The following is a 22178-nucleotide window of genomic DNA, read 5'->3' on the forward strand; positions in this document are numbered from 1 at the left end:
TTTGTATGTTTGTTTATTAGAGACTGGGTCTTGCTATGTTATGTTGCCCAGGCTGGTCTTGAACTCCTGGGCTCAAGCGATTTCCCCATCTCAGCCTCCCAAGTAGCTGGGACTATAGGTGTGTGCCACCACATCCAGCTGAATTATTTTTTTGAAAGAATTATCATTCGTTAGCATTAACACTTTCAGGTTTGTCTTTTGAACTATTTCTTGTCTAAATGCTTTGTAAAAAGTTGTAATTAAAGTTTTTATATATATATATAGCTGAAAACACTACTGAAAAGAAACGTGATGAGACCCGAGTTATGATCTTCTCTTCATTTCGAGATAGTGTTCAAGAAATTGCAGAAATGCTTTCACAGCATCAGCCAATTATTAGAGTAATGACTTTTGTCGGCCATGCCTCAGGGAAAAGCACGAAGGGTTTTACCCAGAAGGAGCAACTGGAGGTAATTATTTTTGGAATTGATAAAAATAAAAATAAGATTGATTAGCTTTGCACTTGTTCTTTTTTTGTTAGTTTTAACTCACTGGTCAATTAGCTACTTAAAAAGAATTTTACAGTAAACGTGTAGGTAAAAATAAGCATATTTTGAAAGATGATAACAAATGTTTTATGTGGTTTTGGAACTTTTTTTTTTTTAAAGTAATGTAAAGTGTAAAAGTTAAGCAGAAAAGCTGTGGAATTATATTAACTGGGTTGGAATCCTGACTCTACCACTTAAAAGTTTCTTTACTTCCTCTTCCTCAGTTTTCCTTATCTGTAAACATACATCATAGAGTTGTTGTAAGCATTGAAAGAGATCTTATTGTAGAGCCACCAATAAATGTTTATTAAGTCGCTTTAATAATTTATTCTAAACAAATAATTAGCCTCTTTTTATTTATTTAAAAATCTTATTTTAGAAGTGGGGTCAGAAGAAACCATGATAGTATTTAAGGTAGCCTTATGCTCTGAGTAAGAGGACATTCGGTTTTCTAAGTGCTGTGATGTTTTGAGGGAAATTTTACATTATTGATTTTTATAAAATCTATGCAGCTTTTTATAAATTAACTATGTAAGTCTATACTTGAGTAGTGACTGACAATTAGATATCTCTTTAATTTCTAATTAATTTTGACAGATCCTTTTTTGATTCTGCAGACGTTAGTAGATGAGGTTTTTTTTTTGTTTTTTTTTTTTTTTTTAGATGGAATCTTACTCTGTTGCCCAGGCTGGAGTGCAGTGGTGTGATCTTGGCTCACTGCAACCTCCGCCTCCCAGGTTCAAGCAATTCTCCTGCCTCAGCCTCCAGAGAGCTGGGATTACAGGCACCCACGCCTGGCTAATTTTTGTATTTTTAGTAGAGATGGGGTTTCATCATCTTGGCCAGGGTGGTCTCAAACTTCTGACGTCTGGTGATCCGCCCGCCTCAGCCTCCCAAAATGCTGATATTACAGGCATGAGCCACCTCGCCTGGCTGGGAGGTAGTCTTCTTCTTCTTTTCTTTTTTTTTTTTTTTTAATTTTGAAATGGAGTCTCTCTCTGTCGCCCAGGGTGGAGTACAGTGGCCCAATCTCGAGTCACTGAAACCTCCGCCTCCCGGGTTCAAGAGACTCTCCTGCCTCAGCCTCCTGAGTAGCTGGGACTACAGGTGCCCACCACCACGCCCAGCTAAGTTTTTTTGTATTTTTAGTAGAGACAGGGTTTCACCATGTTGGTCAGGTATTCTTTTTTTTTTTCTTTTTTTTGAGACGGAGTCTCGCTCTGTTGCCGAGGCTGGAGTGCAGTGGCACGATCTCAGCTCACTGCAAGCTCCGCCTCCCGGGTTCACGCCATTCTCCTGTCTCAGCCTCCCGAGTAGCTGGGACTACAGGTGCCCACCACGCCCAGCTAATTTTTTGTATTTTTAATAGAGACGGGGTTTCACCGTGTTACCCAGGACGGTCTCCATCTCCTGACCTCGTGATCCGCCCGCCTCGGCCTCCCAAAGTGCTGGGATTACAGGCGTGAGCCATGGTCAGGTATTCTTTAAATACCTTTTATACCTGCCCTCACTACACCGAGAAGCGTCTGTTTAAGCTGACTGGATATGGTGGGGAGTGCCTTCCTGAATCTGAAAATAATACTTTTGCCTATTATCAAGTCAGATTATACATATTTTTAAGGCATCTAGTGGGTGATTACTACTCTTAACATATATGTATGAATGAAAAATGAATTGGATTTTTGCTGTGGAGGTCAAGCATTTTCATTATTTGAAATACCTGCAGTACCCAATCCGATCTCTGATCAATTTCAGTATTACCTAAAGTCATTATTTCCTGAGCTTGTCAGGCACCGTAAGAACATTATTGATTTTACTGACTTTATCATTTACTCATTTATGTCAATAATATTTTAAAGTATGCCAAAGTAAAAACTTTTTTTATTACTCCTATATGTAATTGCTTTCATAACAGCTGTTTTATTTTGAAACGAGCTTGCAGGCAAATAATTGTACATTGTCCATTTATTTAGAAACACGATATTAAGTCAGAAGAAATTGGGGGGGCCAGATCCTTTAGGGCCCTATATGTCATTTCCATTTTAATGACTTTCTCTTTTACTCTGACCGAGATGAGAAGTTCTTGGAGAGTTTGGGGCAGAGGATGGTCTTAGCTCGGTTTATATTTTAAAAGAATCAGCCGGACACTGTGGCTCATGACTGTAATCACAGCACTTTGGGAGGCTAGGTTAGGCAGATTGCTTGAGGCCAGGAGTTCGAGACCAACTAGGGCAACATGGTAAAACCTTATCTCTACCAAAAATACAAAAATTAGCTGGGTGTGGTGGCATGTGCCTGTAGTTTCAGCTACCTGGGAGGCTGAGGAGGGAGGATGCTTGAGCCCAGAGGTCGAAGCTCCAGTGAGCCAAGATCACACCACTGCACTTCAGCCTGGGCAACACAGTGAGACCCTGTCTCAAAAAAAGAAAAAAAAATCATGCTGGTTATTGTCTGAAGAATAAACTGTAGGGGCTAAGGGTGGAAGTGGAGAGACCGGTTGGGAGACTTATAACAATTTAAGCTGAAGATGATGGTGACTTGGACTAGGGTGGTAACAAGGAAGGTGGTGAGAAGTGGTTAAGTTCTGGATGTATTTTGCAGGTCAAGCTGACAGGGTGTATTGACAAATTAGAGTGGGATATGAGATAAAGGCATATGAAGTCTGACTGTAGGATGACTCCAAGGTTTTTGGCCTGAGCAACTGAAGGAGCTGGTATTAACTAAGATGGATAAGACTGCAGGAAAGGCCAGGTGTGGTGGCTCACGCCTATATTCCTAACACTTTGGGAGGCCAAGGCAGGTGTATCATTTGAGGTCAGGAGTTTGAGACCAGCCTGGCCAACATGGTGAAACCCTGTCTCTACTGAAAATACAAAAATTAGCCAGGCATGGTGGCGGATGCCTATAATCTCAGCTACTTGGGAGGCTGAGGCAGGAGAATTAGGGAATATCAGGAGCTTGGTTTTAGATGAGTTAACTTTGACATGCCTCTCAGATTAATGCTTTTCAAACTATTGAAACTGGTAGAGGACCAGCTTATTTCCCCCACTACATGACATACTGATACTTTTGAACAATAAAAATGAATTACTAGAAAGTAAAATGAATGAAAAATAAAGTTCTGGTCCAATTTTTAAAATATTACTAGAGTCAGCCAACAAAATTACTCTGTCAAGTGTCTAAACCCTTACTTTCAGTTATTGTACTTACCTTGTTGTCAGCTAGTAATAAACAGTTTTTGGACAGGCACCAGTAATAAACAGTTCATGGAGCACACTTTCAGTAGCAGTCTTTTAAACATCAAGCAGAGATATTGGATAAACAATTGAATATATGTCTTGAGTTTGTGGAAAGGGTTCATGGAAGTGTATATTCAATGGCAAATTAATATCAATCTTAAGCATGGAAGTAACAGTTTAGTTTATACATGTTAACTAAAAAGAAAATTGACATTCTTTATTAATCTGTTAGTTATATTAAGAAAAAATGTATCTAGCACTGTGGCCTTTTTTTTTTCTTTATCTGGGCAAAAAGGACATCTGCTTTACTGTGTTATATGCAGGTTGGCTTAATGTCAGTACAAATTCCAAAGGAAATGAATTACTCTTAATGTTTAATCATGATCATTGTTTCTCCCTGTACTCCGAGGATTTCCATATTGAAAGAAAATCCTTGGACCAGTGCAACTGAAATGTTTATGAGAAGACTTAACATAATACATTTATATTTATTGTCCTACTTTTAAGGTTGTTGTTTTTCACAATACAACTAGCTTACAGATTAAGTTAGGTTTTTGGAGTCAGAGACACTAACATTCAAATGCTGATGATTATTAGTGAGACATTAGGCAAATAGCTTAACTTTTCAGATTTTCAGATTGTTTAATAAAATGCAATGATAATATCTACCTCATAGGGTCGTTGGCAGTAGAAACTAATATATAAAGTACTTAGTTTGGTACCTGGCACATAGTGTGCCCTTGCACATAGTAGCTATCATTATTTATCAGCTAATTCAGCTTTTGATGTTGCATTATCTCACTTAATTACCACCTCCACCACTCCACTGTACACAAACTCACAATGTTGGTATTGGTCTGTATGGAGAAACTGAGGCTCAGAGCAGTTGAGAACTAAGTTTATAAGGCTTAAGGGACTTTCATTAACTTTTTCATTAACTCCTTCTCACGCTATTGTGGTTTCATTAAACTGATCAGAGAAATCCTGGAATGGTAGTATAAAAGGTAAGATATGACTTCTAAGAGTAATACAACATTCTTACAAATATTATAAGAAATATTTATAAACCTATTTCAGATAAAGCTATACATTTAGGTCTAAGATATGATAAATAGGAGTGATTGCTGTAGGCCATTTCCCTGCCCTATTCCCCTTTCTGTGGTGCTAAAAGTAAACTCTGGGTTTTCTCATTCAGTGACGAACTTAAATTGTTGACAAATCCTTTTGACATCACAACCATTACTAAAGCAAAATAATTAGAACTGTTTATTTTACCATAATCTCTTTTGGCTTATATTGCTAGTTGGTTGCTTCTTTTCCTATTCTATACTATCCTTGATGCTGATTTTTTTGCTTTGTTTTGTTGAAACGAGGCTTTACTCTGTTGCCTAGGCTAGAGTGCAGTGTCACAGTCATAGCTCACTTGCAGCCTTGAACTCCTGGGCTCAAGAGATCCTCCTGCCTCGGTCTCCCAAGTAGTTAGTGCTACATGCATACACCATCATGCTGGGCTAGTTTTTTTATTTTTCGTAGAGACAGGGTTTTTCTATGTGCCCAGGCTGAGCTTGAGCTCCTGGACTCAAGCAATCTTTCTGCCTTGTCCTCCCAAAGTGTTGACATTACAGGCATGAGCTGTGGCCAGCCTTGAGGCTGATTTTTAATCTGATTTTACTATTTTTCAGGTGAGTGGGGAAAAATATGCTTTGATCTACAGTTCTCTTACATTTGCATGTAGTTATTTTTCAATTGTTTTTATTTTAGGTAGTGAAACAGTTTCGTGACGGTGGTTACAACACGCTGGTTTCTACCTGTGTGGGTGAAGAAGGTTTGGATATAGGAGAAGTTGATCTTATAATATGTTTTGATTCCCAGAAGAGCCCAATTCGTCTTGTACAACGAATGGGTAGAACTGGCCGTAAACGTCAAGGCAGGATAGTTATTATCCTTTCTGAAGGACGAGAGGAACGTGTAAGTAGAGCTGCAGAAACACAATTTGACACTTGAAATTTGAGAAATACAGCCCAAAGGTGAATATCAACATGTTAGCATTCCAAGTCCAAACACTCTGTAGATAGTTTTGGTTTATTTTCCCCCACTTTGTATTGGATTCTCTCTTGTAACTAGGAGAATTTTTGACTGGAGTCAGTTTGCTAATTTTTATCCATCTAAAGAAACACATTTTTAATACTTAAGTAGTAATTCAGAGATACCTAGATCTAAAAACCAATATCTATTACTTTGTTTTACTATTTTCCTGTGCTTCTAAAGAAGGCCTGTGCTTTGTGTTTAGTTTACTTTTCTTTCTGAACTATAGTAAACTGAGAATCATTTTTTCCTTTTCAAGGGCTGTCAAAATAACTGACTAAATAAGAAACAAAGAACATGTATCAGAGACAGTATGAAGCCTGAAAAACCCAAAATATTTACTTTCTGGCCCTTTTTGGAAGTTTGCTGATGCCTATTTTAAGTGATAAGGAACTTGAGTTATATTCATACTGTGCTACAATCTTGAGTGACAGGCCTTTCTAAATAAGATGTTACATAAAATATTATTTTGTGTTTGTTACACTAAAGTATTAACTAACTTTTGTAACTTATCGAGACTAGTTCAGCAGCCAAATATATAGATTCACATTAAAGGTCTTAACAGCCATGATAATTTTTAAAAACTGATTTTAGGCTGGACATGGTGGCTCACGCCTGTAATCCCAGTACCTTTAGGAGGCTCACTTGAGGTCAGGAGTCCGAGACCAGCCTGGCCAACATGGTGAAACCCCGTCTCTACTAAAAGAATACAAAAACGAGACAGGTGTGGTGGCGCACGTCTGTAATCCCAGCTACTTGGGAGTCTGAGGCAGGAGAATCGCTTGAACCTGGGAGGTAGAGGTTGCAGTGAACCAAGATCCCACCACTGCACTCCAGCCTGGGTAACAGAGCGAGACTCCATCTCCAGAAAGAAAAAAACAAACTGATTTTAAATATTTTATATACTCTTTAAAATCATCCTGAAAAATGAATTATTTCTCTAATACTTTTCATGTGATTATAGCATATTCATATGTAACATCTAGTTTATCCATAAAATGATCCTAATGAAATGTTTGGTAAAAGGCCGTGTAATATCAGTGAGTGGAATTGGGTTCTAATTGTATTCCCTAGCCAAGTTACTTAACCTCTCCATTCACTTGTTAGGTTTCTTATCTGTAAAATAGTAACAGTGGCCCCGTTTACTCAGTATTTACATTGTGCTGCGTAATGTTCCAAGTTTCAGATTCATTATTGTATTTAATCCTGTCAGCACCCTGCAAAGGGAGTAACGCTTTTGTTGTATACAGGGAAGGAAACTGAAATGTAGAAAAACGAACAAACTGAAATAAGGGAATAGTTTTAAAAAAACACAAGACAACCTTACACTTCTATGTAAATATCAGTCTTTTTTAAAAACAGCAAGCTAACAAAGATAGATTTACTTTATGCAGTATAACTGCTAAGGTGGGCTTTTGTAATAATGGACTTTGAAATGATTTTCTTTTTAAAAAAAAAAAAACAAAAAAAACGGAGTCTTGCTGTGTCACCCAGGCTGGAGGGCAGTGGCATGATCTCAGCTCACTGCAACCTCCATCTCCTGAGTTCAAGCGATTCTCCTGTCTCAGCCTCCTGAGTAGCTGGGACTACAGGCGCATGCCACCATGCCCGGCTAATTTTTTTTTTTTGTATTTTCAGTAGAGACGAGGGTTCACCATATTGGCGAGGCTGATCTTGAACTCCGGACCTCGTGATCTGCCCGCCTGGGCCTCCCAAAGTGCTGGGATTACAGGCGTGAGCCACCGCACCCAGCCTGAAATGATTTCCATTAAAGGTTAATCTAACAGTTTACTGATAGGTTTTAAAATTCAAGACAGCTGGGCTCAGTGACTCACGCCTGTAATTTCAGCACCTTGGGAGGCCAAAGCTGGAGGATCACTTGAGCCTTGGAGTTCAAGACTAGCCTGGGCAACACAGGGAGACCCCATCTCTACAAAATAAAGATTAACTGGGTGTGGTAGCTCACACCTGTAGTCCCAGCTACTCAGGAGGCTAAAGTGGGAGGATCGCTTGAGCCCAGGAGGTTGAGGCTGCAGTGAGCCCTGATCACAGCACTGTACTCCAGAGCCTGGATGACAGAGTAAGACCCTGTCTCAAAAAAAAAAAAAAAAAAATTCAAGACAACAGAAGCTCCATTTTCTAAGTATTTAAGTGGATCGGGGTTTAATTTTATGTTTACAATAAATCCAAACTAATAATTGCTTGTTATGGATAAATTGTTATTTATAAAAGTAATATAATCTGACATTTTCTATTTGTTTTTACAGATTTATAATCAGAGTCAGTCCAACAAAAGAAGTATATATAAAGCTATTTCAAGTAACAGGCAGGTCCTTCATTTTTACCAAAGAAGTCCACGAATGGTTCCTGATGGAATCAACCCAAAATTACACAAAATGTTCATCACACATGGTGTCTATGAACCAGAGAAGCCTTCTCGGAACTTGCAGCGAAAGTCATCTATCTTTTCCTATAGGGATGGTAAATAAATTTTGCATTTGACACATGCATTTTTCCCCTGTTCTTACTTAGCAGGTCGTATCTTGATATAATATTTCTTGTTTGAAAAACTGAATATATGTTCTAATTAATATATTATAGGCATTCTCTTTGGAAAGGCTGTACGAGATTATTCATGTGGCAAATGGAGAGACACTGGTAGTATAGAGTGACAGAAACTCAGTGTTGGGGAAAATTAAACATACCCTACCAACCCAGAGAATGTTCTCCATAAAGTTTAGAAAAGAAAGAAAACAGTTTTATTTTTTAATAAGCATTAAACCAGATTACAATGTGCGCTGAAGATAATGTACTAAGATAATACCAAGACAGAAAGAAATTCCCTATATGTATCCCCAAGCACTTAGAATCCTTTACATACATGTTGTCAATATTAATAGTAACTTGTCCTCATGTAAGAGGGCACCATTTGCTATACATTCCTTCATAGTTTATCCCATATTTACCTGGTAATTGAGGTAGCCATTTGTGTTAGCTGGTTACCTTTCTCAAATATCTTGAGATATTTGCACTATGAAAGTGAGAAAAAATGTTTATTTTTTGGATTTTACTTAATCTCTGAAGTGGGTTTTAAACAATCATAAAAATCATATAACTAACATTTGGAAGGAACCTTGGGAGTCATGTGGTCCAATTACTTATCAAGGTAGGAATGCTTCTGCATCATTCTTGTTTTAAATGCATAGCCAGTCTCAACTTGAATACCTCTGTTAATATAAATTATATTTCTTTAGAGGGTTCATTCCATTGTTGAACGGCCCTGTATAGTAGAAGACTCTTACGCTGAAAAATCTGTGTCTTTGTACCTTTTTCTCATTGATCTGGTTTCTTAGATAAAAAGTACAGTTTTCATCTTTGGTTTACCTTTATAACAGTTCTCTATATATTTGAAGGCCATACCTTTTATGTTTGTTCAACTGTTTGTTCCACTGTTGTCATACCATGCATTTTTAAGGTTCTTACCCTCCTACTACTTGCTTTCAATTCAGATTTGTTAATGTTCTTTCCCTTAACTCAGAGCCGTCAATCAATGTTTTTTTGGCTATGTCTATTAAACTTAATACAAATGCACTTAATAGGAACATACCTGTCATTTTTCAAGATTTTGCCAATTATTTGGTTAAAATAAAAACACAGCATGTCTTTTGAGTTTTCTTGAATTTGATAAATTAATAAAAGCATCAAAACTTGATTAGGTTGGATAAATCATTTTTAGTGATCATTATATTTTTTATAGTTGCTAATTAATCTTATATTTAATAATTATTTCTAAAATGTTACTGAGGTCGATGGCAAATTCTTTAGTGAATATCTGGAACCTATCCTTTTAAAAAATTGAGATAATGTTAACTTATGTTCATTTTTCTATACTTGTTTCTTCCCCTTTTCTCTGATTTTTCAAGTGTCAAAGATTTATCTTAGATTATGTGATTTATGTATGGAATAATTCTATAATTCTGTACTAGTATATAAATACACTAGTGTATTTATACTAATATATAAAATATATACTAGTGTATTTACTATGTATTTTGCTAATGTATGCTAACTATATACTAGTGTTTATACATAGTATATATTTTATATATATTAAAATATATAGTATATATTATATACTATATATAGTATATGTAGTATTATATATAGTGTATTTGTAGTATATATTATATACACTAGTATGTAATTCATCTGAGCTTAGAGCTCTGAATTGACTATTTTTTATTTTATTTTATTTTTTTGAGACAGTCTCGTGTTGTCGCCCAGGCTGGAGTGCAGTGGCATGATCTCGGCTCACTGCAACCTCTACCTCCCAGGTTCAAGCAATTCTCCTGCCTCAGCCTCCCAAGTAGCTGGGATTACAGGCACATGCCACCACACCTGGCTCATTTTTACGTTTTTAGTAGAGACGGGGTTTCTCCGTGTTGGCCAGGCTGGTCTTGAACTCCTGACTTCAGGTGATCCACCTACCTAGGCCTCCCAAAGTGCTGGGATTACAGGCATGAGCCACTGTACCCAGCCACTCTGAGTTTATTTTAAGGGACTGGGGGTACCTGCCTATTTCGAAATCTTAGAGTCTCTGGATGTCAGGTCTGAAAGGGGCCTGAGAGATCATTTAGTTCAAACCCCCTTATTTTACAGATGAGGAAACAGATGCAGAGAAGCCTTTTATTTATTTATTTGTTTTTTTTTTTTCATTTTTAATTTTTTATTTTTTACATTTTTAAAAAGCTTCTTACACAAGTTTGGAATACCTGAGACATGATCCTAGCTCATCATGAAGCCTCAACTCCTGGGCTTAAGAGATCCTCCTGTCAGCCTCCTGTGTGGCTAGGACTACAGGGATGCAACACCATGCCCAGCTAATTTTATTTTATTTTTTTAGACTTGGGGTCAAGCTGTGTTGCCTAGGCTGGACTCAAACTCCTGGCCTTAATTGATCCTCCCTCCTCGGCCTCCCAAGGAGGAGGTGTCAGCCACTGCACCCAGCCAGTTTCCTGATTTTTAATTCAGTAGCGTCTCAATTTTTCTGCTCTCATCTGTATTAGCCAGAGTTACTGCTTTGTACTATTTAGCCTTTTCAGTTTGGTGATTCTTAGAGATTATAGAAGCTGAAAAGAATGAATATACTATACATATTTTTAAAAGTCTATTATGTCCTTTTTTAAAGCAACAAGTCTGTTCCCCCTACACTTTACTCATTTTGCCCCAACCCCCATTTAAGACTTAAGATACATACTCCTTTTAAAAGTCTTGGCCTTTCCTGCCCACTCTCAACACCCCCACCAAGCTTCAGATGAACTTTCCAATACTGCTATGATAGAATCATAATACCAGTTTTTCATTTGTGAGTTATCTTACTCTGTTTCATGCCAGGTCTTAGGCAACCAAATGAAAAGAGTCCAAAAGAAGCCAGGACTGAGAGCCAAGGTACCTGGCTCTGTTCTGTTAATGGATTCATTACCAAAGGATAGCTCCTAGACAGATGGGTACTTTCAGAGGTAAGAGAAGTTTAGGAGACATTTAGAAGCATGAAGTAATAAACTGAGTGGTTTTTTATGAAGAATACTAGTTTTAAGGAATAGAATCAAGGCTGAGGTAGGATCAGTTGAGCCCAGGAGTTTGAGACCAACCTGGGCAACATATCAAGACTTCATCTCTACAAAAAATAAGAAAAGTAGATGGGCCTGGTGGCATGAGCCTGTATTCCAGCTCCTGTGGAGGCTGAGGCAGGAGGATTGCTTGAACCCAGGAGTTTGAGGTTACAGTGAGTTATGAATGTGCTGTTGCACTCCAACCTGGGTGACAGAGTTTGAATGGATATTGTGGGTTTTTTTGCTTTGCAGATTTTTAAAAAGTCTCTTTTCCATTATTTTTTCAACTTATAGGAATGAGGCAAAGTAGCCTAAAGAAAGATTGGTTCTTATCAGAAGAAGAATTTAAATTATGGAACAGACTTTATAGATTAAGGGACAGTGATGAAATTAAAGAGATAACATTGCCTCAAGTTCAGTTTTCTTCTTTACAAAATGAGGAAAACAAACCAGTAAGTTGAATATATTTTCAGATGTTCTTTTCCCCCCCCTCATTTTAATGCCAGAACCCCTCAGATGTTCTTTATAATGATCAAGCAATAGCTTTGGGAATAATGAGATAATTGTGATTGGAATGTCAACTTACTTTAAGAAATTAAGAATGTAATCAGTGTAAGAAATCATTAAAGTCTAAGTTTACAAAACTACTAATTTTCTTCTATTATTTATTGTATATATGTATTTAACCAACTGTGATATTTTTACATAAATTATGCCTTTCTTTCATTACTGTCATTTAAACATTTCTATATAGGCATAATCTTACATGGTTGTCACTTTACTCTGTGATATACCATAGTTTGCTTGACTATTTACCTATTGTGTTTTGGGATTCTTTTCAACTTTTTTTTTTTTTTTTAAGAGATGAGGTCTCGCTCTGTTGTCCAGGCTGGCCATCAGCTCCTGGACTCAAGTGATCCTCCTGCCTCAGCCTCCCAAGTAGCTGGGACTATAAGTGTACACCACTGCATCTAGCTTTTTCAGTATTTTACTAACATAAATTATGCTTTCATAAGCATCCTTGTAAACCATTTTTTTTTTAAATTTCAATAGTTTTTGAGGAACAGGTGCTGTTTTGTTACATGGATAAGTTCTTAGTGGTGATTTCTGAGATTTTGGTGCACATCATCCGAGCAGTGTACACTGCACCCAATGTATAGTCTTTTATCCCTTGCCCCACTCCTACTCTTCCCCCCGAGTCCACGACAGAGTCCATTATATTATTCTTAGGCCTTTGTGTCCTCATAGCTTAGCTCTTACTTCTAAATGGGAACATACGATGTTTGGTTTTCCATTCCTAAGTTACTTCACTTAGAATAATAGTCTCCAACTCCATCCAGGTTGCTGCGAATGTAATAATTTCATTCTTTTTTTTATGGCTGAGTAGTAGTCCATGTTGTGTGTGTGTGTGTGTGTGTGTGTGTGTGTGCATGTGTGTCACATTTTCTTTATCCACTCACTGATTGATGGGCATATAGGCTGGCTTCATATTTTTGCAGTTGCGAATTTTGCTGCTATAAATATGGGTGTGCGAGTATCTTTTTCATATAATGACTTCTTTTCCTCTGGATTAGATACCCAGTAGTGGGACTGCTGGATCAAATGGTAGTTCTGCTTTTAGTTCTTTAAGGAATCTCCGTATTGTATTGCCTAGTAGCTGTACTAATTTACACTCCCACCAGCAGTGTAAAAGTGTTCCCTTTTCACCACATCCACTCCAACATCTATTATTTTTTGATTTTTTTAATTATGGCCATTCTTGCAGGAGTAAGGTGGTATTGTATTGTGGTTTTGATTTGTATTTCTCTGATAATTAGTGATGTTGAACATTTTTTATATGTTTATTGGCCATTTGAGTTCCTTATAGATTCTGGATATTAATCCTTTGTTGGATGCATATTTTACAAAGATTTTCTCCTACCCTGTGGGTTGTCTGTTTACTCTGCTGTGCAAAAGCATTTAGTTTAATTTAGCCCCATCTATCTTTGTTTTTGTTGCATTTGCTTTTGGGTTCTTGGTCATGAACTCTTTGCCTAAGCCAATGTCTAGAAGAGTTTTTTCAATGTGACAGAATTTTTATGGTTTCAGGTCTTAGAGGTAGGGCTTCGATCCATCTTGAGTTGATTTTTGTATAAGGTGAGGGATGAGGATCCAGTTTCATTCTTCTGCATGTGGCTTGCCAGTTATCCCAGTATCATTTGGTTGAATATGGTGTCCTTTCCCCACTTTATGTTTTTGTTTGCTTTGTTGAAGATCAGTTGGCTGTAAACATAAATTATGCTTTCATAAGCATCCTTGTAAACCAAAACAAAAAATAAAATTTTTGTTTTGAAATTATATTTAAAACTTTAAATTTGATGTTATTGTTTATTTTGTTTATTATTAACAAATTCTTTGTTAACTTTGTGAAAGTCAAGAGAACTGATCAAAGGTTGTAGATGTGCCTGGAGAGCTGGGAAAACAACCTCAGAAAAGATTTCTTTTAAAATATTTAACTGTTTGCTCTTAACATGGAACTATATAAACAGGAATATTGTCAACTTGTAAGTCATATAACAGTTACTTAACAAATATATTTTAAAGGGCATCTTTCTGCTTTATGAAATTATTTTCTTTTTTTCTTCTGAGATTTTAGTTGGGAGTATCTAAATGGATCCAAATTATGTTAAGCTGATTATATGTATATTGAGTGTTTTTTAAAATTAGTTTGTGAAATCTCAGTATGTTTTCATCATTTTTATTACTTTTTAAATAATTAAGGCTCAAGAATCAACCACTGGAATTCATCAACTCTCTCTCTCTGAATGGAGACTGTGGCAAGATCATCCTTTGCCTACACATCAAGTTGATCACTCAGATCGATGCCGCCATTTTATAGGCCTTATGCAAATGATAGAGGGAATGAGACACGAAGAGGTGGGGTTTTATTGTAACTTTCTCTTGCTGGTATGATAGTAAAACTAGAGTACTTAGCTTTTATTTTTCTTAATTTGAAGTAATAAGAAATACTTTGTTTTTCTGTATAGTTCCTTGTGATCTCAGTAAAGAATGAGTTTTCTGCCTTAAGAGAAGAAATAGATTTAATTAATTAGAAGAAGAATATCATCTGTAAATATTGATAGACCAGAGTAGAATTTTAATATACTTAAATGATTTATGTAAACTGTTTGTAAACCTTATTTAGGATTCTTTTGGATTCGGATTTATTGAAATACTCTCTGTCATCTAGGTTATTTGATATCTTTCTTGTATCCTGGTCCTAGTTTAGAGAATTATAGATTCCTTGAGCAGTTCCTTGATTATTCTTCCTAGAGTCAGCATAGTGAACCAATTATGAGTGTGAAATCCATAGTGCCTGGGTTAGAATCCTAACTCTGCCTCCTACTGATTGTGTGTTTGTAAGTTATTTAACCTCTCAGTGCTTCAGTTTTATCTGTAAAATAGTCATAGTGATAATACTTATTTCATAAGGTTGTTGTGAGGATTAAATGACCTAATATATGTAAAGCACGTAGTAGCTGGCATATGATAAGTACACAGTAAATTGTAGCTCCTATTTTTATTATTAGCCTTTGATCATGCATACATGTAAATAAAGTAGTTAGATGTGGATCCCAGCAAAATGTGTGCAATCAAATTAACATATATTTATTGAGTGCCTTCTGTGTGCCACACTCTATTCCCTGCTTTATGGCTATAACCGTTAGCAAACAGAGAAAATATTCTGTTTATGTGGAGTATATATACTAGCAGGGAGACAGACATTTGCTCACATTAATGCTTATTATATTTATTATTCAAAAAAGCAGAGGGCCAGGTGCGGTGGCTCATGCCTGTAATCTCAGGCTTTGGGAGGCCGAAGCAGGCAGATCACTTGAGGTCAGGAGTTCGAGACCAGCCTGGCCAATATGAGGAAACCCTGTCTGTACTAAAAATACAAAAATTAGCTGGGTGTGGTGGCACATGCCTGTAATCCCAGCTACTCAGAAGGCTGAGGCAGGAGAGTCACTTGAACCCGGGAAGCGGAGGTTGCAGTGAGCCAAGATCAAGTCACCGTACTCCAGCCTGGGCGACAGAGCGAGACTTTGTCTAAAAAAAAAAAAAACAAAAAAACCAGAGAGGTAACTGCTTAAGTCTATAAGTAGTAGAGGAATCCTGATTAAAGTAGCATTCTTAGGGGAAAGGAGGGATGGTGGAGATTGTAAGTTTTAGCTAATAACTTAGAGATAAGTAAGACTTAGAAATTCACTATACGAATCCTTGATTAGGAACTTTGTTACAAATAGAAGTATATTCCAGGATACAACCTAGCAGACATACAGGTACTACTATGTTGGACATTCCAAAAGCTATTCTTAGTTTACTGTCATTGAAAGAGTAAATTTAACAAATGTATATGGTTTTTATTAATATATGTTTTTAAAATATCTATTTTTAAGAAATTAGAATAATTCAGTTAAATGTTAGAAATGTAAAACTCACTATATTCTTATGTATTCATTCAATTTGTTCTTCCTACAAATAGTTACCAAGGGTCTTTTGGGTATTAAGTACTGGGGATACAAAAAAGTTAACTGATTAATGATAACTTGATAGTTTCACAGTAGTGTACTTTATAATTTTGATTTATCGGAATAACTTTTAAGGTATAAAAGAATATCACTGGAACAATGTAATAATATAAATATTTTAATATAGAGTGAAACTCCTCTCTTAGATTTGGCTTTCTGTTTTGTTTTGTTTTCCTGTGGCTTTTTAAATTTTCCTTATTTATAGGGAGAATGCAGCTATGAATTGGAAGTTGAATCTTATTTACAAATGGAAGATGTTACCTCAACATTTATTGCTCCCAGGAATGAATCTAATAATCTTGCCAGTGACACCTTTATCACTCACAAGAAATCGTCATTTATAAAGAACATAAATCAAGGCAGTTCATCCTCAGTGATAGAATCTGATGAAGAATGTGCTGAAATTGTTAAACAAACTCATATCAAACCTACTAAAATTGTTTCTTTAAAGAAAAAAGTGTCTAAAGAAATAAAAAAAGATCAGCTTAAAAAAGAAAATAATCACGGTATTATAGATTCTGTAGATAATGACAGAAATTCCACTGTTGAAAATATTTTTCAAGAAGACCTACCAAATGATAAAAGGACATCAGATACAGATGAAATTGCTGCCACATGTACTATTAATGAAAATGTTATTAAAGAACCGTGTGTGTTATTAACAGAGTGTCAGTTTACAAATAAATCCACTAGTTCACTTGCTGGAAATGTTTTAGATTCTGGTTATAACAGTTTCAATGATGAAAAATCTGTTTCATCTAACTTATTTCTTCCATTCGAAGAAGAGCTTTATATTGTTAGAACAGATGACCAATTTTATAATTGTCACTCATTGACAAAAGAGGTACTAGCTAATGTAGAGAGATTTTTATCTTATTCTCCTCCGCCTCTCAGTGGACTCTCAGACTTGGAATATGAAATTGCTAAGGGTACTGCACTTGAGAATTTGCTTTTCTTACCCTGTGCAGAGCATTTACGAAGTGATAAATGCACCTGTTTGCTGTCACATTCAGCTGTGAATTCTCAACAGAATTTAGAATTGAATTCACTTAAATGTATAAATTATCCATCTGAAAAAAGTTGCCTTTATGATATACCTAATGATAATATTTCTGATGAGCCAAGTCTCTGTGACTGTGATGTACATAAACATAATCAAAATGAAAATTTAGTACCTAACAATCGTGTTCAAATACACAGAAGCCCTGCACAGAATTTAGTTGGAGAGAACAATCATGATGTTGATAACAGTGACCTCCCAGTATTGTCCACTGATCAAGATGAAAGTTTGCTGTTATTTGAAGATGTTAATACAGAGTTCGACGATGTGAGTCTTTCACCCTTGAACAGTAAAAGCGAATCTTTACCTGTGTCAGACAAAACTGCTATTAGTGAAACGCCTCTGGTCTCTCAGTTCTTAATTTCTGATGAACTTTTGTTGGACAATAATTCTGAACTCCAAGATCAAATCACCCGTGATGCTAATAGTTTTAAATCTCGTGATCAGAGAGGTGTACAGGAAGAAAAAGTGAAGAATCATGAGGATATTTTTGATTGCTCTAGGGATTTATTTTCTGTTACCTTTGATTTAGGATTCTGTAGTCCAGATTCTGATGATGAAATATTGGAACATACATCAGATAGCAATAGACCTCTAGATGATCTATATGGAAGGTATTTGGAAATTAAGGAGATAAGTGATGCAAATTATGTTTCGAATCAAGCACTAATACCAAGAGATCATAGTAAAAATTTTACTAGTGGAACTGTTATTATCCCATCAAATGAAGATATGCAGAATCCAAATTATGTACATTTGCCACTGAGTGCAGCAAAAAATGAAGAATTGTTATCTCCTGGTTATTCTCAGTTTTCTTTACCAGTGCAAAAAAAAGTTATGAGTACACCACTCTCTAAATCAAACACATTGAACTCATTTTCTAAGATAAGAAAGGAAATACTTAAGACACCAGATTCTAGTAAGGAAAAAGTAAACCTACAAAGATTCAAAGAAGCATTGAATTCAACTTTTGATTATTCAGAATTTTCTCTAGAAAAGTCTAAAAGCAGTGGTCCAATGTATCTGCATAAATCCTGTCATTCTGTTGAAGGTAAGATTCCATCTTTATAAAGTCTATAACTCTTTCTAGAATAATTACTCTAGAAATACTTTGGTAATTTTTCCAAATGTAATTTTTTAGTACATGGTACAATATAAATATTGAATTAGATAATTGATGTGTTATATTTTTCTTAAGATGATCTTACTAATATTAGATTTATTTACATATACTTATGGCACGCATGGTATGGAAAAAGTTATTCTTGCTAGACATTATGAAATACACGAAGATGAGTAAGATCTGGCCCTAGGTCTTGGTTGTAAAACATAATTATGTGACATACGTATTTGAAAAGATGCCAGTAAAATGTGGAAATAACTACCAAATGAATAATAAGAGAGTGGCTGTTTAGGAGGTTCAGAGGATGATGAAATTTTGAGGTTGATTAGATTGGACTTTTTTTGTTTCTTTGTTTTTTTTGAGACGGAGTTTTGCTCTTGTTGCCCAGGCTGGAGTGCAATGGCATGGTCTCGGCTTACTGCAACCTCCGCCTCCCAGGTTCAAGTGATTTTCCTGCCTCAGCCTCCCAAGTAGCTGGGATTATGGGCACCCACCATCATGCCCGGCTAAGTTTTGTATTTTTAATAGAGGTGGGGTTTCACCATGTTGGACAAGCTGGTCTTGAACTCCTGACCTCAGGTGATCCACCCGCCTCACCCTCCCAAAGTGCTGGGATTACATGTGTGAGCCACTGCGCCTGGCCAAGATTTTATATATAGTGTAGATTTTCATTTGGGTTCCTTGGGAATATTTATGCTTTTGGTATGTTGAAGATACTAAAGACATAATTTAGGTGTTACAAAATGATGAAAGCGAGGGGAAAGAAGGAAAGTATGATTTTGGGAGATAGTTTGAAGTAATAGTTTTATGCAGCAAAATATTTGAGAAATAAAAACTGTATTCAGAAGATTGAGACCAGACCACAAAAAATCAGAGAAATCTCTGGGTTTCTGTAATCTAACCATTACACTTACAGAAAAACTAGATGATATAGTGATAGATGTTTGATATGAAGTCGTGCTGTATAATACAACTCTACAGATTATTATATCAAGTCATTTATGAATTTTACTCCTTATGTTAAAAGCTGAATAAAAAGTAGCTGTAGGATAAAAGGAACATTTCCTCTGTAAATCTTTTCCTTACATTATTCTCGTTAGCATGGAGGACATGGTTCGTGAATGTTCTATTTAAGATGAAAGCATGTTGGAAGTAAGTACTGGAAATACATTTAATTTTCAAAACCTGACTATTCTATATAGTCTGGGGTTGTGCCATGACATATATATTTTTTCAAAGTGTATGATGCCTGTGAGCCTTCAATATTTGCTTTAATACCTCTATATGAAGTCCACGTTAATGAGTGAGATAATTTTTCTGGTTTTGCGTCAGATTTGCACAAAAACATTTTTTCTAGGATTGTACTTAACTACAAATCATGGGCAAAATAATTACAAACACGTATCATGGAATTATTTATTAGAGAACATTTAGTTATTTTTTATTCTACTTAATTCAAGACAGAATTTAAGCTCATTTTCTGTATTATATATGAAAAACATAGTTCATTAAAACATCATGAAAGCACTGAAAAAGAAAGCCTCCTAGAATGAGTTGGTTACTATAGCCGAGTCCTGCATTTAACTTTGGCTTCCTTATAAGGTAATGAAAAAAGAAAAACTAGTTGATTTATATATTGTTCATCTGCAAAAAGGAAATCACTCAAGTTTGTCTGTCTGGGTAGATGTTTTAGTAGCAGAATGTGAGGAGAAATTTACTGAGTGGTTTTGTATTTGTTATCTATTGCTGTTTAACAAAGTACCCCCAAAAAACTCAGTGGCCTAAAATAATCAGTAAAATAAAATAAGCTTCTTAGAAGGCCTGTTGTTTGAGAGGATCTGTGAGGAGCTTCTTTAAAAACCTTAATGGGCCTGGCGCAATGGCTCATGCCTGTAATCCCAGCACTTTGGAAGGCTGAGGCGGGTGGATCACCTGAGGTCAGGAGTTTGAGACCAGCCTGGCCAACATGATGAAACCCCGTCTCTACTGAAAATACAAAAATTAGCCAGGCGTCGTGGCACGTTCCTGTAGTCCCAGCTACTCAGGAGGCTGAGGCAGGAGGATCACTTGAACCTGGGAGGCAGAGGTTCCAGTGAGCCGAGATCGCGCCACTGTACTCCAGCCTGGGCAACAAAGTGAGGCTCTGTCTAAAAATAAATAAATAAATAAAAATAAAATCCTTACTCTCTGACTGAATAGTACTGTAAGGCACAATCTTTGATTTTTAAGGAGGTCTTAACAAAGCATTTAAACTATACCCTCAGCTCACCCTCAGCTTCATAATATTTTCCTGGCTGTTCTCTGGGTTTGATCTTTGCCTAGAAAATTTCTTAATTTTATCATTGTTCGCCATCAGGAGAGGCCGGGAGTTTTCATAATCAGCAAATTCTAATTATGTTTGTCCTTAATGTCTTTCTTTTTGCATTTTGCTCTTATAGCAAAAAGCAACATTTTGTCTGGAAGTCTTAGCTAGATCACCTCTCATAGATTAGGTACATCATTTTCTTTCTTTCTTTTTTTTTTTTTTTTTTTTGAGACAGTCTCACTCTGTCACCCAGGCTGGAGTGCAATGGCACGATCTCGGCTCACTGCAACCTCTGCCTCCCAGGTTCAAGCGATTCTCCTGCCTCAGCCTCTCAAGTAGCTGGCACTGTAGGCGCCTGCCACCACGCCCGACTAATTTTTGTATTTTTAGTAGAGATGGGGTATCACCATATTGGCCAGGCTGGTCTCGGACTCCTGACCATGTGATCCGCCTGCCTCTGCCTCCCAAAGTGCTGGGATTACAGGTGTGAGCCACCATGCCTGGCCCATTTTTTGCTTTTCGTGCTAACTGCAATGATGCCAAATTTTCTGGTACTACATTAAAGGATTTAAGATTTTTCCTACTTTTCTTTAAGCCCTCACCCACCATTTCCTCAATGGCCAACTAACCTTCCTACAATTTCTTTGAGGCTCTTCAAGCCTTCGTTCACTAAAACTGAAGTCCTTTCAGCATCCACCACTGTCTAGTTCCAAAGCGACTTTCCCAGTTTAGGTTTTTGTTATGGCAACTCCCTATTTCTGGGTACCAAAATCTGTATTATTTATCTATTGCTGCATAGCAAACTACCTGCAAAACTTAACGATGTAAAATAACAGACCCTTGTTACCTCAAGGTTTCTATACAACAGGAGTTTAAATGTGGCTTAGCTGAGTGGTTCTGGCCTAGGATATTTCATGAGGTAATAGTCAAGACATTGGCCAGGGCTGCAGTTATCTGAGAGCTTGAATAGCTTTGGAGGATCTGCTTTTAAGATGGCTCAGTCATACTGCTGTTAGTAGGAGACCTTGGTTTCTTGCCATGTGGACCTCTTCGTAGGGTAGTTTGATAAGTATGTGGTGTTTTTTTTTTTGTTTTTTGTTTTTTCCCCCACCAGGCAGGGTCTCGCTTTGTCACTCAGGCTAGATTGTAGTGGTGCAATCACGACTCACTGCCACCTCTGTCTCTTGGGCTCAAGCAATCCTCCTGCCTCAGCCACTGGGACCACAGGCACGTGCCACCACACCCAGCTAATTATTGTATTTTTTGTAGAGAGGGTTCTGTCATGTTGCCCAGGCTGGTCTCAAACTCCTGGGCTCAAGTGATCTGCCTCCTCGGCCTCCCAAAGTGCTGGAATTACAAGCGTGAGCCACCACTCCTGGCCTGGTATGGTCATAAAACATAAGCATCTGACTTCTCCCAGTGCAAGTGATGCAAGAGAGAAAGCAAAAATGAGGCCACAATACCTTTTATGACCTAGACTCATAAGTCATACACCTTCATTTTCATTATATCCTTTTTTTAGAAGCAAGTCACTAAGTATGGCCTGTACAGTTCTAGTTACAACATTTTGTATTGAATTGTATCTTACCAATTTTTATTTCATGTACACAAATACATATGGAAAACACATATATAACAAAGAATCTTTTAATATAT

The 22178-nt window shown here is 36.7% G+C and overlaps 1 protein-coding gene across 11 annotated transcripts in view; it reads left to right on the plus strand.

Moving 5' to 3' along the window:
* Nucleotides 1–22178, plus strand: part of FANCM (FA complementation group M) — a 64961-nt gene that overhangs the window by 22902 nt on the left and 19881 nt on the right. For 9 of the 11 annotated variants that reach the window (XM_011537034.3, XM_017021523.2, NM_020937.4 and 6 more), the window contains 6 exons: nt 265–449; nt 5528–5734; nt 8119–8332; nt 11758–11915; nt 14224–14379; nt 16240–18145. In XM_011537034.3, the coding sequence (XP_011535336.1) occupies nt 265–449; nt 5528–5734; nt 8119–8332; nt 11758–11915; nt 14224–14379; nt 16240–18145 (2826 nt within the window). Of the gene's footprint in view, nt 1–264; nt 450–5527; nt 5735–8118; nt 8360–10795; nt 11371–11757; nt 11916–14223; nt 14380–16239; nt 18146–22178 lie in introns of those variants that run through there. The other 2 variants (XM_011537037.4, NM_001308134.2) reach the window with 2 other exon arrangements.

The sequence above is a fragment of the Homo sapiens genome, chromosome 14, assembly GCF_000001405.40.
Source record: "Homo sapiens chromosome 14, GRCh38.p14 Primary Assembly".
NCBI lineage: Eukaryota > Metazoa > Chordata > Mammalia > Primates > Hominidae > Homo > Homo sapiens.